Source organism: Homo sapiens, chromosome 16 (genome assembly GCF_000001405.40).
Source record: "Homo sapiens chromosome 16, GRCh38.p14 Primary Assembly".
NCBI lineage: Eukaryota > Metazoa > Chordata > Mammalia > Primates > Hominidae > Homo > Homo sapiens.
In genome coordinates, this window is record NC_000016.10 from 49921400 (window position 1) to 49936318 (window position 14919).

Below are 14919 nucleotides of genomic sequence, written 5' to 3' on the forward strand. Positions count from 1 at the left end.
AAAGGCATTTAGACACTTGCATCTGTGTCTGTCTTCCATGCGGGACGATTCGGCAGCTCTGGGGGTTTCTGAGGCTGGAAGGACTTCCCTGAGCAGTGGCCAAGCCAAGGGGTGGCTTAGGGGAACGTTTTTGTTGTTGTAGAGACAGAGTCTCCCTGTGTTGCCCAGGCTGGTCTCAAACTCCTGGGCTCAAGCGATCCTTCCACCTCAGCCTCCCAAAGTGCTGGGATTACAGGTGTGAGCCACTGCACCTGGCTGGCTTCAGAAAACTTAAACCCACCTCAAATCTCCACCAGCCCCCTCCAACCCCCTAGTTAAATGTATGGTCCAGGTAAAGACAATGTGCCTGTTCTTCAGCTTCAAAACCAGCCCCAGCCCCTGCTCCTAAGGCAGACTGCCAGCCCCCTAGCCTGTCAAGCCCTCCCCAATCTGGTGACCTGACTAGACAAGCAGTGGGCCTGGGATCCTCTGAGCTAGCCCACACCTGAAGCTTCCGGAGAGCCAAGCCCAGCTGATGGGGGCCCAGCTTGTCCCAAGGTGGTGGAGGTGGTGGTTTCAGCCTGGCGCCTCCACCCCCTCTTGCCTGCCTCCTCACAGACCCATTGTGTCCCAGCTTCAGAAGTCACCGTCTGCCCCCTTCTGGTGGCTGGAAATTCTCAGGAAGCCTCCGATGGCAGGAACTCCAGCACAGGTAATGGGGTGAAGGTGCAGGGCTCCACCACCTCCCTGTGCCCCTCCCCAACCCTGACTGTGGCAATTGGTTGCCCACCTTATCAGGACAGGAGCCACAAAGGTATGCCTTTCACCTTCCCTAAATACTGTCATATACAAGTCACAGAAACAGGATGGAAACGAGGGACATTCTCCACCTTGAATCTTGCGGTCCATTGCCAGGCCAGCCTCCCTTCAGTGACCTATAAATCAATTTAAAAAATAATATGCTAAGTACCCTGGCATAGTTAAATCACACCATTTGTGTGTTAGAAGCATTAATCTGTGAAAGCTATTTATGTAAGTACACTACAAAGGTGGAAATTTGTGTTGATGCTTCTTCATTTTTACCACATAGGAACACTCAAAACTGGAAACAGCCTGGCCTTGCATGCCGCCCAGGACCAGGCACCAACTGAGACATGTAGATGGAGGGGCTTTGTCTCAGAAAGGCCTGGAGCCCAGGACAGAATCTCCCTGTGTTGGCTCTCCGGAAGCTTCAAGTGTGGTCTGGCTCAGAGGATCCCAGCCCCACTCCTTGTCTCATCAGCTCACTGAGTAGGGGCAGGCTGGACAGGCTAGGAGATTGGCAGTCTGCCTTAGGAGCAGGGGCTGAGGGCTTGTCTTGAAGCTGAAGAACAGGCACACCGTCTTTACCTGAACCATAAATTTCACTCAGGGGTTGGAGGGGCTGGGGGAGATGTGAGATGGGTTTAAGTTTTCCTAGGCCAGCCAGGTGTGGTGGCTCACACTTGTAATCCCAGCACTTTAAGAGGCCGAGGTGGGAGGATCACTTGCCCAGAAGCTTGACACCAGCCTGGGTAACACAGGGAGACCCTGACTCTACAACCACAACAAAACTGTTCCCCTAAGCCACCTCTTGGCTTGGCCACTGCTCAGGGAAGCCCTTCCAGCCTCAGAGAGACCAGAGCCTAAAAGCTAGGACCCAGGGCTCTGGGGTGAGCAGATCTGGGCTCAAGGGCAGCCTTCTTCGATGACCAGCTGTGTGGCATTGAGCAACTGACTCAACCTCACTGCGTCTAGTTTGCTCATCTGTAAAATGGAGCCTTCCGGATCCAGTAGCAGGGAGGTTTGGAGGGGATTGCAAGTGTAAAGCACGCAGCTCTGGGCGAAAGCCCAGGGAATAGGAGCAACCTCTGTGAGAGCTCCACATGCTGGCCCTGAGCATGCTTTCACTGTGACACAACGAGGGTTAGACCCACGATCTCTCTGCCATGGACGAGGCAGCTGGAGATGAAAGCCAGGATTTGCCCAAGCAAATAGCCGGAGAGCTGCAGTGCCACGATGCCGCCCTTTACTTTTGGATTCCAAGACCACTGATCTTTCCTCGTCCCATGCCTGCTTTCCAGGTGACTTGGTCTGCTTTCCTTTTCCCATTCAGTTCACAGAGCACCGGGCAAGTGCCAGGTAGGGTGCCCAGGCCTGTAGGGGAGGGAGGACCGATTGGGCTCCAGCTCCCCAGGACTCATATTCTCCAGAAGAGAAGACAGAAAGACAGACGGATGCTCAAGCAGCTGCGTACCAGGTAGGTGCTGCTCAGCACGATCGCCAGGCAAGGCTGCGCAGGTAATGTGGCTCGGAGGGCGTGCAGGTCAGCCCCAGGTGTGGGGAGTCAGGAGGGAGGTCCTCAGGTTCTAGGAAAGAGAGAGAGGCACAGACACAGCCCATTTTCTGACAGAGTTGAGAGTTTGTCTTTCCGGAAGGAGGTGGCTGGCTGCACACGGCCCACTGCACAATTCTTAGAGGATGTCAGTCAAGTGATAAACACCCAGTCAAACAGGATTCAGTATGAAAGGGGGTCGCTGGTTCTAGTATCTGAAAATGCCAGGGTGCGGCTGCCTTCCAGCACCAGGACCCAGGGCCTCAGACAATCATATCAGGAACCTGCTCCTTGCCTGCGCTGTCCTCTGTGTCTTCACTCTCAGGCAGGTTCACCATCCTCTCCCTTAGGTTGTTCCCTACCCGATCCCAGTTCGAGGATGACGTCCTAAGGGTTTGGCAGTCCCACCAGAAAAGGTACATCTGCAGGGTTCCCAGGAAGTCCTGGCAGAAGTCCTGAGGAGAGCTCTCATTGGACTAGCTGGAATCACGGGACCATCCCTGAACCAATCACCAAGGCTAAGCCAACGGAATATGCTGATTGGCCAGGCCCAAGTCACATGACGGCCTCTGTAGCCAGGGCTTGGGAAGTCAGTCCCTGGGGTTGAGATGTTCCAAAGGGCTGTGAACCGAAAATCCCTGCAGAAGGAAACCACACATGTCCACTGCAAAAAGTGGTGTTTTGTTATCCTTGAGTTGTTGTGTGTTCATTTGTTTGGCTCTTTCATGCCTAGAAGTTGATATTTTATGCTCAAACACAGAAAAAAGTACAAGCACCAATTGGCAACCTGTGGACTGAGACCCCTGACACTGGCTGCTTGAAAAAGGCCCCAGGGTGGACAAGAGCTGCACCACTGAATCTCCAATCCCAGAACACCAGGCTTTTGGCCCCATGCAGATCTGGGGCTGCCCAGACACCCATAGCTCCCTGGACAGCCTGGGTCTTAGCTCCTGGCATCCCACCCCTGGCAACCTGGACCCATGAAGCCCCAACACTGATGCATCTTCTACTCTAAGAAGGAGTTCAGGGTGCGCTGTGCTTCTAGGAAAAAGACTGATCTATGATGCATATTTTCTCACATGATATTTTAAAGTTCCTTAAATTAGTATCTGTTTTACAATTATTAAGCACCTTTCACAGCAGGATAGCTCTTTTTCTCCTCTCAGCTCCTACCCATTCCCCAACAAAATCTGTCACTAGGTAGATGAGATCTTAGTAGCAAAGAAGTAGGGTATAAGTTTTAAAAAACTGTTCTGACTGCAGAAAATCCAAAAGAATGGAACAAAAATTCCTCTTGAAATTAAGCAATTATAGCAAGGTTGCAGGATAAAGGTTATTATACAAAAGTCAGTCACTTTCCTATATACTAGCAATGAACAAGTAGAATTTGAAATTAAAAACACAATACCATTTAGATTAGCACCCAAAAGAATGAATTAGGCATAAATCTAACAAAATATGCAAGAATATTTATATGAGAGGAACTAAAAAACTCTGATGAAAGAAATCAAAGAAGAAATAAATAATAGAGAGTAGTATTATTTGTTTATGGATAAGAAGCCTTAATTGTATCAAGATGTCGGTTCTTCCCAAATTCTATAGATTCAATGCAATCCCAGTTAAAACTCCAGCAAGTTATTTTATGGATATCAATAAACTGATTCTAAAGTTTATATGAAAAGGTAAAAGACCAAAATAGCTAACTTGATACCAAAGCACAGTCAGAGGACTGCCCCTACCTGAATTCAAGACTTACGGTAAAGCTACAGTAATGAAGACTGAGGTATTAATGAAAGAATAGACAACTAGATTAATGGAACAGAATAGAGAGCCCAGAAATAGACCCACATAAATATAGTCAATTGATCTTCGACAAAGGAGCAAAGGCAATTCAAGGGAGTAAAGATGGTCTTTTCAACAAATGGTGCTGGAAAAACTGTACATCCACATGCAAAAAGGTGAATCTAGACACACACCTTACACCCTTCACAAGAATTAACTCAACACAGACCTTACATCCTTCACAAGAATTAACTCAAAGTGGATCAGAAATCTAAACATAAAATGAAAAACTATAAAATCCTAGAAGATAACATAGGAGAAAATTTAGGTGACCTTGGGTTTGGCAATGACTTTTAAAATGCAACATCAAAGGCATAATCCATGGAAGACATAATTGATAAGCTGGATTTCATTAAAATTAAAAAGCTTTGGCTCTCTGAAAGACACTGTCAAGATAATGGGAGGGCAAGCCACAGACTGGGAGAAAATATTTCCAAAACACATATGTGATAAAGGACTGTTATCTAAAATAGACAAAGAACTCTAAAACCTCAACAATAAGAAAACAGACAACCTGATTAAAAAATGGGCAAATGACCATCTTTTGCCACAACAGACACCTCACTGAAGAAGATATACAAAGGGCAAATAAGCACATGAAAAGATGCTCAATATCACTGTCATTAGGGAAATGCAAATTAAAACAACGATGAGATACCACTACACACATATTAGAATGGCCGAAATCCAGAACACTGACAGCACCAAATGCTGGTGAGGATGTGCAACAACAGAGACTCTCATTCATTGCTGGTGGGAATGCAAAATGGCGTGGCTGCTTTGGAAAGCAGTCTGGCGGTTTCTTATAAAAGGAAACATACTCTAACCATATGATCCAGGAATAACACTCCTTGGTATCTATCTCAAATGAATTGAAAATTTGTGTCCCCACAAAAGCCTGCCCATATATGCTTATGGCAGCTTTATTCATAATTGCCAAAACTTGGAAGCAATCAAGATGTTCTTCAGTAGGTAAATGGATAAATCAACTGTGACACAACCCGAAAATGGAATATTATTCAGAACTAAAAAGAAATAAAGCCAGGCATAGTGGCTCATACCTGTGATCCCAGCACTTTGGGAGACTGAGGCAGAAGGATCACTTGAGGCCAGGAGTTTGATACCAGTCTGGGCAACATAGGGAGACCTCATTTCTACAAAATATAAAAATAAACTAATCGAGTGTGGTGATGCACACCTGTGGTCCCAGCTACTTGGGAGGCTGAAGCAGGAGGATCGCTTGGGCCCAGGATGTCAAGGATGCAATGAGCTGCAATGGCACCACTACACTCCAGCCTGGAGTGAGACTGCATCTCAAAAAAAAAAAAAAAGAAAAAAGAAAAAAAAAAAGAATTATCAAGCCATGAAAAGATGTGAAGGAATCTTATATTCATATTACTAAGTGAAAGAAGCCAAGCTGAAAGGATATGTACATACTGTATGATTCCAACTCTATGACATTCTGGAAAAGGCAAAATTATGGAGCCAGTAAAATGATCAGTGGTTGCCAGGGGTTGGGGGGAGGGCAGGATAAATAGAGCATAGAGGATTTTCAGGGCAGTGAAACTACTCTGTATGATACCAGAATAGTGCATAGATGTCATTATGTATTTGTCCAAACGCATAGAATGCACAACACCAAGAGTGAACCCTAATGTAAACCATGGGTTTTGGATGATAATGATGTGTCAGTGGAGGTTCATTAGTGGTAAAAAATGCACCCGTCTGGTGGAGGATGTTGATAATGAAGGAGGCTGTGCATGTGTACAAACTGGAAATACATGGGAAATCTCTGTACCTTCTGCTTAATTTTCCAGTGCACCTAAAACTGCTGTTAAAAAAAAAAAAACAAGTCTATTGCAAAAACAAAAACTAATTGTTCTGATTATCTACTGCAGCACAACAAACCACCCAAAATTTAGTGGCTTAAAACAACAACAGTCATTTTTGTTATCTGTCATGGTTCTGGAGCTTAACTGGGTTCAGCTCAGTTCTCACTCAGGGTCTTATACATGGTTGCACTCAGGTGGCATCTGAGGCTGGAGTCATCTGCAAGTTTCCCTCACTCACTTTTGATGCCTTAGGTCCACTGGGACCTCAGTAGGGGCTGTCAGCCCGCATATCTACATGTGACCTCCCGATACACATGTCTACACATGACCTCCCCATGGACAAACCTACACATGACCTCCTCATGTGGCCTGGGCTTCCTTGAAGCATAGTGGCCAGTTTCCAAAGGTGAGCATCCCTGGAGAGGGAGGGAGGGAAGGGAGGAGGAGTCGGGGGAGCTGGTGGGAGCATATGACCTATGCTTAGAAGCCATGCAGAGTGGCAAGGTCACATTACAAGAGAACATGATGGACAGAAGACAGTCATGGCTCTCTTTAGAAAATAAAATCTGCCACACCGACCACCTTCTGGTATGGCTGAGGTCAAGGTGCCAGCTGAGTGGGCCACAGGTTTCTCTCCTGCCCTCCTCCTGGGAACTGTGCTTCTACTGTCTACCTGACTCCAGCCCAGGTGCCTCAGTTCATTAGCCCTTGTCCCTGTCAGAACCCCCAAGCAGAGTAGGATACATTCCCCTTTTCTAGGAGAGATACTGCAGCTTCCGCAGGTCTCAGAGCTCGGGCCTGACTGTTGGCTGTGTTAGGAAAGCTGGGTCCCTGGGCATGAGGCCATCTCCCTTCTACCTGCTGTGCTGCTCTCTGCCTTGCTTGCAGGACCCCCTGCTCTCCCCTCTGCCCGTGTGCTCACTTCAGTTCTTCCCTTGGGCCCTCCACATCCCCACTCCACACTATCTGACCATCCGCCAGATGTCAGTTTCTGTCCAGAACCTGGTAACCACAGTGCCTCGCTTGGGGCCTGGGAGACAGAGTCAGGCCAATTGCCCACCGGTCCCTCTCGTGCCAAGCTCACGAGGGATCACCCCACTGTCCCTCTCTCAAAATCAGCTGCTGCGTTCACATGGTGTCCAGGCTTCCTCCCAAAGCCTCCCCTGCCAATGACTGACACCAACCAGGCCCACAACACATGGAAAGCCAACGATAGCATCACGTGCATGCGTGTCCTCAGACTACACTGTGAACTTCTGGAGGACGTGGACATGACTTGTTTCCTTCCACATTCTCTGGCACACAGGGACACTCATCTACTGCATGAAGGAGTGCCTGACTGAATGAACAAACAAACCTGTGGATGAGGGCTTATGAGTTAAGCCTTGGGGAATTAAGGGAACCCATTCCCAGCCACGCCTCCCACAATTTGCTTCCAGTTGGGCCAAGACCTGCTTGCAGCTTTCTTTAAGGTTGAAATGTGTAGACTTGGCAGAGCTGCTTTCTCCCCTCCCTCTCCACACCCCCGCCTGTCTTCACCCTTCCCCAACTCTGGTTCCCACGTGGCTGCAGCCTAGCCTCATGCTGCTCAAGTAGAAATCATTCTGCAGGTTGGATTCTTTAAATTAATGTTTGTTCCTTAGGCATTCATATAATGGGTACTTTAATGTTTTAAAGAAAAGAAAAGAAAAAAGATTACAGAATAAAATTCGTGCCTGTTGCCATAATTACTATGAAAGTTTTTGCATATTTTCTTTCAGCATTTTTCAAAGCATAAATATACTTTACACAGTTGAACCTATACTGTATATGTACTTTGTAACCTATTTTTTAACACATTCTAGCATAAATTCGATCATGAGGTTTTCCCCATAAATTTAATTCTAATGTATGTTTTAATGGCTGCATAATATTCCGCCTTAGGAATAAGCTGCAATTTAAGCCATTCTTCCAGAGCTGCTTGTGGGTTGCACTTCTCACCTTTTTGCATGACGCTGTGCGGAAATCATAGGCTTCAGCAACTTTTGCCTGTCTAGCATTCACCCTTCTATTTCTTTTTTCCTTAAAAGAGCCATGGTCTCACTCTGTCACCCAGGGTGGACTTCAGTGGTGCAACCAAAGCTGACTGCAGCCTTGACCTCATGGTCTCAAGCGATCTTCCTGCCTCAGCCTCCTGAGTAGCTGGGACTACAGATGTGCCACCCTGCCTGGCTCATTTTTAAAATTGTTTGTAGAGACTGGGTCTCACTATGTTGCCCAGGCTGGTCTCCAGCTCCTGACTTCAAGCCATCCTCCTGTTTCAGCCTCCCAAAGTACTGGGATTACAGGAGTAAGCCACCACGAAAGGTCTCACTCTTCTTTTGACAGGAGCACTCCAAGTACCCTCCAGGATCCCTGCCTCACAGTGTGGCCCACGTGGGAATGGCTTGCCTCCTCAGGTCCAGGAGAGGGAATGGCTGAGGTCTACCAGTTGGCTTATTCCATCCCTCTGTACACAGCGATGGGTCAGGATGAGCAAGTGGCCCAATCAGAGCCAGTGCTTTGGTTCTAGGACAAGTGTGGAGCCCTTGTGAAGAGTTTCTCCTCCTGTCTATTGGGGCTCCTTCAGTTAAGAGGAAGGCCCCAAGCCTCTGACAGGCATTCTGACACCAGGAGAGCAAACAGCAGCACATGAGCCCCTTGGTCCAGCTGTGCTGAAGGCCAGATACGCCTTAATATTTCTTGGTCACATTAGCTAATACATTCCCATGCCTGCCTCTGTTTGCATTGGGTTTCTGACCCTCAAGTCTTATGACAGATTTGTCAGAAGCATTTCTGTCCACAGTTCAAATCCTTCATTTCCTTAAGAGGTGGACCCCAAAGAAGAAATCATGGGTCGAAGCACAATGTTTGTAAAGCTCCTACGATGTACTGATAGAGTGTTTGTTTTCCAGAAAGCCTCTGACCATCGATCCTCCCCTACAGAACAGGGAGAGAAGCCCCTGCCAAGCATCATGGCATGATGCTCCCAGTGTGCCCTCTGCATGTTCAGAAACAGCCACACTGGAATGCAGTTACCCAGAGGGGTAGGCAAAAAACGCAACTTCCAGCTGCCTAGCGGGGTAGGTGGTGCAGCATAGAGCAGGCACATGGGGCTGGGCGAGAAGGGCCCCAGCAGCCTGAGGTTGCTTCCAAGGGGACCCTGAAGCCATGGCTGCATCACGGGTAGAATAAGGGAGACCTGAAAGGCAGGTGTGTGGGCTGGGTGGGGCCGGGAAGCAATAGCTCCCAGAAGCCACTTACCAAATCACTCTGCTGACAATCACAAACTGCAGCTCCCCAAAATGGGTCTTTCTCCTTCTCTACTAACTCTTTTTGGTCGACGTTTTGGAGGCATCCAGAATCCTTTTCTCCAAAGAAGCAAGAGCCTTAAACAAATTCTTAACGTGTGAGGACATTTATTTCTAGGGAAATTCTGAAAGCAATGGTACTCACTAAGGAGAGGACACCAGGTGGAAATGTGATTCAGAAGCATCAGAACGGCTCACATGAATCAGGGCAGGGCTGGGTCTGCCGGCTTCTCTGTCCATTCTGAAAGGAAAGCCCTGCTGGGGGGTGCCTGCTGGTTCCTCGGCCCTGTGGCAGGCAGCAGGGGGGTTCTCACTGCTCTGTGCCCATCAGCAGGTGCCCGTGGGTCTGTGTAACTGCCTCTCTCCCTCAGAGGACAAGCCGCAAGCCCAGCAACATCTGTGCTCCTCTGTTTGTCTGCTCCATGCCCTGGGCATGAACACACTGCCCAGCTGCCATTCCTACGTGGTGCAATGTAGGAGCAGACACGTGAGGTCTGGGTGGGCAAGAGGGAGCAGCTCCCAGGTTCCAGTAGTGGCTGTCCCCCTCCATTGTCTTTATTTTTTTGAGACAGGGTCTCCATCCATGATGGAGTCCTGGGCTCAAGCAATCCTCTCACCTGAGCCTCCCAAGTAGCTGGGACTACAGCTGAATGCCACCACGCTCAGCTAATTGTTTTTTTTAAGAGATAGGGTCTCACTGTGTTAGCCCAGGCTGGTCTCAAACTTCCGGCCCCAAGCCATCCTCCTGCCTAAGCCTTTGACGATGCCACATGTCTCTTGACCTCAAGGCAGCTCAAATATCCCAGAATTGGAACATGCAAAGCTCTGAAAGTCTTAGAAATGACACGAATCCTTTCTAATTGTTCAAATGGGAAAACTGAGGCCCAGAGGAGAGGGGTTTGCCCAGGTCACACAGTGTGGTTTATCGACAAAGCCAAAATGAGAAGTAAACCCTCCCCTTCAAAGTCCCCCTGCTCATGGCATGGGGGTTAAACGTTGGGGTTTGCCATCGCACAGACCTGGGCTCAAGGCTCAGTTCTGCTCCTTGTTAGCTGGGTGGCCTTGTCCAAGTGTCCTAACCTGAGATCATAAGATGTACCCGCTCCAGAGTGTCACTGTGAGGATTAAATGAAATAATGTTCGTAAGCACCTACATGTTTATACGTATAACTAGCAGCTGTCATGCTCTCACAAGAGACTTCTGTACTGAGGTTTGTCAGTTGCAGGGTGAAAATGACCAGCATGGTCACCTCTCCTGGCAATGAAATGGGCCATTTTACAATGGAGGTGGACACAGAAACCAGCTGGTTTGCAGCTGTGAAAGGATAGGGCCTGGTTCTAGAAGCCCCTCCTCAGTACATGGGCCCTGCTGGCCGGTGTCCCGTCCCTCTTCCTGGTCCTGTCGGTGACCGTGACCGCCATGCGGTGAGGGACCACTGTCCTGGCAGAGCCCAGGTCTCCTTGCTGAAGGACTCTGCGTGGGGCAGAAAAGAGGAAACAGAAGAATGGGATGCGGGACTGGGAGGGAGCTCGTAATTCATGGTGGCCTTCTGCGTTCCTGGATGCTGTTCCAGAAGTGGGTGACATGATGGAGGACGAGACAGAGGTCTTGACTTTGTGAGACTCCCCTTAGATACTGAATTCCTCATTTTAAAAATGAAGCTGCGGCCCAAGAAGGGAGGCTATGTCCCTTCAGGGATCCACAGCTGCACAGTCAAGCTGCTAAACTCGGCCTTGAAATGCCACATTCCAACAAGTTCTGCAGGGGGTCGGTTTGCATTAGGTGATGGGCAGAAGAAGCGGTTTCATTTAACTTTCGTAGGACCTTTTAGAGAGGTCCTTTTAGAAAGACCTTTTAGAGAGGTTTGGCAGCTGGAGAGAAAATAATTGCCCCTACATGTGACGAGAGGCATTCTGTTCAATCATTTCGTCACAGGCTCACTCACCACTGACGGATGTTAACGCCAAACATTCTGCAGACAGGTTAAGAAAAATGAAAGCCATTTTACACTGTTATATGAAAGAAGCAAAAGACTGAACAATGTTGTAGTATACTCTTACTCCTGGAAAACCAGTAAGGACACAGCTGTATAGGAGCAGAATTTCTACAACACACAAAACCCCTAACAGTTGTTGCCTCTGGGAGACCAAGGTCTTGGGGAGGAGAGGGATTTACTTTTCATTCTAAATTTTTGTTAACTGTTAGTAAGTTTTTCCATGAATTATTTTTCCAGTTAAAACATTCTAAAGGATGGGGCAACTTAGGAACAAAAACAATAAACTAAACAATTCCTTCTTTGCTGTGGGTCCTGACTAGCTGTCAGTTGTTAGATAATTTTCCTTCTCAAAAGTCCCCGTGTTTTCTATCCTATAAAAGGGAGGCACAGATGGTAACAGTAAGAGACAGTTCTGGAATTCCTGGTTGCTGACGTGCATTTTGGCCTCCGGGCCAAAGTGGCAGCTCCTCACAGCTGTAGGAGTCTCAGTCACTCGAGTTTAACCATAAAGGCTAGGCTCCCAATTGTTTTCACAATTTCACTTCTGCCCAGGTGATAGGATGAAGCCACCCATCAAAGCACAACACTCTTAGACACAGTAATAGGAAAACAGTGGTTTCACTTCCAAACAGGCACAGTAAGTCCTCCTTCTGAAGATGTGATTTAGAAATGTCTATCTAAAGGCCATTAAAAGGGGGCCCATCCATCGCAGCTCTAAGAATGTATTGCAGGGAGATACTAGCAAGAGGCTCAAGACCAGTTTAAAAAATTAAGGAATGCTGTTATTATAGGATACTAGAGAAAAATTGGATCTATATTCACTGATATGCAAAGAGTGAGTTAAGTGAAAAAATGGATATAAAATAATAGTAAGTACTTACATGGTACTTGCTATGTGCCAGGGCCGCCTCTGAGCTCTTCATATATGGTAATCCATTTCATTTTTATTACAATTTTATGAGGTAGGTACTTTTATTGTCCCCATTTTGCAGAGGAGGAAACTGAAGCCAAGGGCACTAAAGTGACTCGCCAGGGTCACGTAACTGGTGAGTGGTGGAGCGGAGCCCAGAGTCCAGGCATGTAGCTCAGTTCTGTGTTCTTAACCACTGCTTCCCAACATGTACCCCACAGCCCCATCCATGAGAAATTGAAAGGCGGCTCACCTGGCTGTTAACATTGCTTCCAGATTGTAGGACTGCAGATTCAGTTTTAATTTTCTACATGAATGACGCTGATTAAGTAAATCTGTTCTTATTTTGGTTTTTAGGAAAAGTGTACATTCTGTTTGATTCAAAAACTCTGATCTCTCAGAATTTTTCCTCAGGAAATTATTAAACAGATGTCAGCAAAGATGGATCAGTAAAGATGCTTATCACAGGAAAACTCTAGCAACGAAACGCTGGTGTCAAACAAGATGTTCAACAAGGGATTGATTAAATATGGTATCTACATATGGGAAAAGAATAAATATTGACATGGTGAGATGTTTATGCTCTATTGATGAGTGAAACAGACAGTAAGCTACAGTTGAAAAATAAAGCCATGTCTATCCGGAGGAAAAGCATGGAAGGAAACAGAAGAAAGAGGACCTGCAGCCATCTCGGGGTGTTGAGGCTGTACCTTTTCACTTGTGATATTTCTGAATCTTCCAAGTTGTCTGCCTTGAGTGCATATTACTCCTCCAATAGCAAAAAGATGTTATTCTTATAAAATGACTGTCACTATCACCCTATTCAAGTATAAAATCTTAGAATCCCTGAGGGTTATGGTGTCCTTGTCATTGTGATTCTCAGGAAAGACTATGCAAGGTTCTACTAGAAAAAAAAACCACATTAAATTAATTTCTACCTAAAAAAGACAGCCTCTGCCAGAGGGAAACAGTCAGGATACAAAGAGCCCTTAGGTGCCATCCAAGGCGTGTTCCTTCCCTGTCCCTCCTGCCACAGTCCAGATGACCAGGCAACTCCGCTCCAGTCCGACGCACTGACAGGTACAAAACATTGATCAAATAAGGATGCGCAATTCAAACATTTACTTTTCAAACATCTTTGGAAAGTTTATCATACACAAACAAGCACAGGAGAGAGAAGAGGGTTCAAGTTCAAGCCAACTCATTTGCCCAGCGGCTCCAGGGAACACAAGCATCATACAGTGAGTCGACCACAGAGGCCCCAGGGGTGGTTCCCCTCAACAACTGAGGAGCGAGGCTGGCGGGATTCTGTGGAGTGGCTGTGAAAAATACTGCGGAGCTCTTCCAGGGGCGCTGTCTAGAGGCACCGGGAACGGCCCTGTGTTTGACACAGGGTCGTAGGCTTTCCCACAATGCAGCCGCTAACAAAACAAGGCTGTCCCAAGCCCCTGGTAACAGAATCATCCATCCCTACACCAACAAGGCTGGGAGGGCACCAGAATCTACACATGGTGTGCGCCCAGGCGGACATCGACGGATTCCTGCTGGGAGACCCAAAGTTCTTACGAGTTCCTCCGAAGCAAAAACCTGCCAGCAAGGCCTATGGAGGGTCCATGGGTGCCAGAGGTGTTCATGACAGCAGCCAGCATGTTTTCCCTATTGGGGAGCAGAAAATCTTTGTAAAAGTATTGAAGGCACAGACCAGACGCAGTGGCTCATGCCTGTAATCCCAGCACTTTGGGAGGCCAAGGCAGGTAGATCACTTGAGGTCAGGAGTTCAAGACCAGCCTGGCCAACATGGCGAAACCCTGTCTCTATTAAAAATACAATAATTAGCCAGGTGTGGTGGCAGGTGCCTGTAGTCTCAGACTTGAACCCAGGAAGCGGAGTTTGCAGTGAGCCGAGATCACACCACTGCACTCCAGCCTGGGCAACAGAGTGAGACTCTGTCTCAAAAAAAAAAAAAAAAGTATTGAAGGCACAAGCACAGAGAGAAAGTTAAATTGAAAAAGTGAAGCTATTTGGGGTAATAAAAATTAAAAGACTTTAAAAATACTGTGGAATAAGTACCACAGTCACGTGAAAAAGGTTAAGTGAAGTGCCAACTGAACACAGGAGTGGCCTCCACTGGGAAAATAATCCAAGAAAAACCTCAATGTGTCCAGCATCGTCCACAAGTGACGCGTTCAGTATATTTTCATGAACCCTCCAAGGCTATACTCGAGTGAGGCAAATCTTAACAAGAACTGCAAAATAACATGCCAGCAATGCTGCTTTAGAATCTTAATGGACAGTTGTGATTTAAAACACAAAATTCTAAAACAGTTGCCCATAGAAAATTACTCTCAGATCTGACAGTCTGGAGCAGAGAAGTCAGGCAATGTTAGCTAATCACACACAGCAGCAAGTCCCCCAGCTCCTGAGGACACGGGAGTCAGGGCTATCATGGGGAGGGAGCTCAAAGGGTGTCTGGTGCAACCACAGACTTCTGGGCCTAGAAAAATCATGCAAAGTTCGGGCACGGTGGGTCACGCCTGTAATCCCAGCATTTTGGGAGGCCAAAGAGGGTGGATCACTTGAGCCCAGGAGTTCAAGACCAGCTTGGACAACATGGTGAAACCCTGTCTCTACAAAAAATGCAAAAATTAGCTGGGCATGGTGGCGCATGCTTGTAGTC

At 47.3% G+C, this 14919-nt stretch overlaps 1 pseudogene, besides 5 other annotated features; it reads left to right on the forward strand.

Annotated features, from left to right (window-relative positions):
• Nucleotides 207-938: an enhancer, noted in NCBI's record as "H3K4me1 hESC enhancer chr16:49955517-49956248 (GRCh37/hg19 assembly coordinates)". NCBI's record gives its function as "activates a minimal SCP1, AML or CMV promoter by ChIP-STARR-seq in primed H9 embryonic stem cells {active_cell/tissue: H9 hESC(primed)}" and the evidence as "EXISTENCE:reporter gene assay evidence [ECO:0000049][PMID:30033119]".
• Nucleotides 1615-1798: a silencer, noted in NCBI's record as "fragment chr16:49956925-49957108 (GRCh37/hg19 assembly coordinates)". NCBI's record gives its function as "represses an EF-1alpha promoter that drives an FKBP-Casp9 reporter gene in an ReSE screen in HepG2 liver carcinoma cells {active_cell/tissue: HepG2}" and the evidence as "EXISTENCE:reporter gene assay evidence [ECO:0000049][PMID:32094911]".
• Nucleotides 2781-2953: a silencer, noted in NCBI's record as "fragment chr16:49958091-49958263 (GRCh37/hg19 assembly coordinates)". NCBI's record gives its function as "represses an EF-1alpha promoter that drives an FKBP-Casp9 reporter gene in an ReSE screen in K562 erythroleukemia cells {active_cell/tissue: K562}" and the evidence as "EXISTENCE:reporter gene assay evidence [ECO:0000049][PMID:32094911]".
• Nucleotides 6993-7493: an enhancer, noted in NCBI's record as "H3K4me1 hESC enhancer chr16:49962303-49962803 (GRCh37/hg19 assembly coordinates)". NCBI's record gives its function as "activates a minimal SCP1, AML or CMV promoter by ChIP-STARR-seq in primed H9 embryonic stem cells {active_cell/tissue: H9 hESC(primed)}" and the evidence as "EXISTENCE:reporter gene assay evidence [ECO:0000049][PMID:30033119]".
• Nucleotides 13597-14097: an enhancer, noted in NCBI's record as "H3K4me1 hESC enhancer chr16:49968907-49969407 (GRCh37/hg19 assembly coordinates)". NCBI's record gives its function as "activates a minimal SCP1, AML or CMV promoter by ChIP-STARR-seq in primed H9 embryonic stem cells {active_cell/tissue: H9 hESC(primed)}" and the evidence as "EXISTENCE:reporter gene assay evidence [ECO:0000049][PMID:30033119]".
• Nucleotides 13627-13948, forward strand: RPL34P29 (ribosomal protein L34 pseudogene 29; annotated as a pseudogene).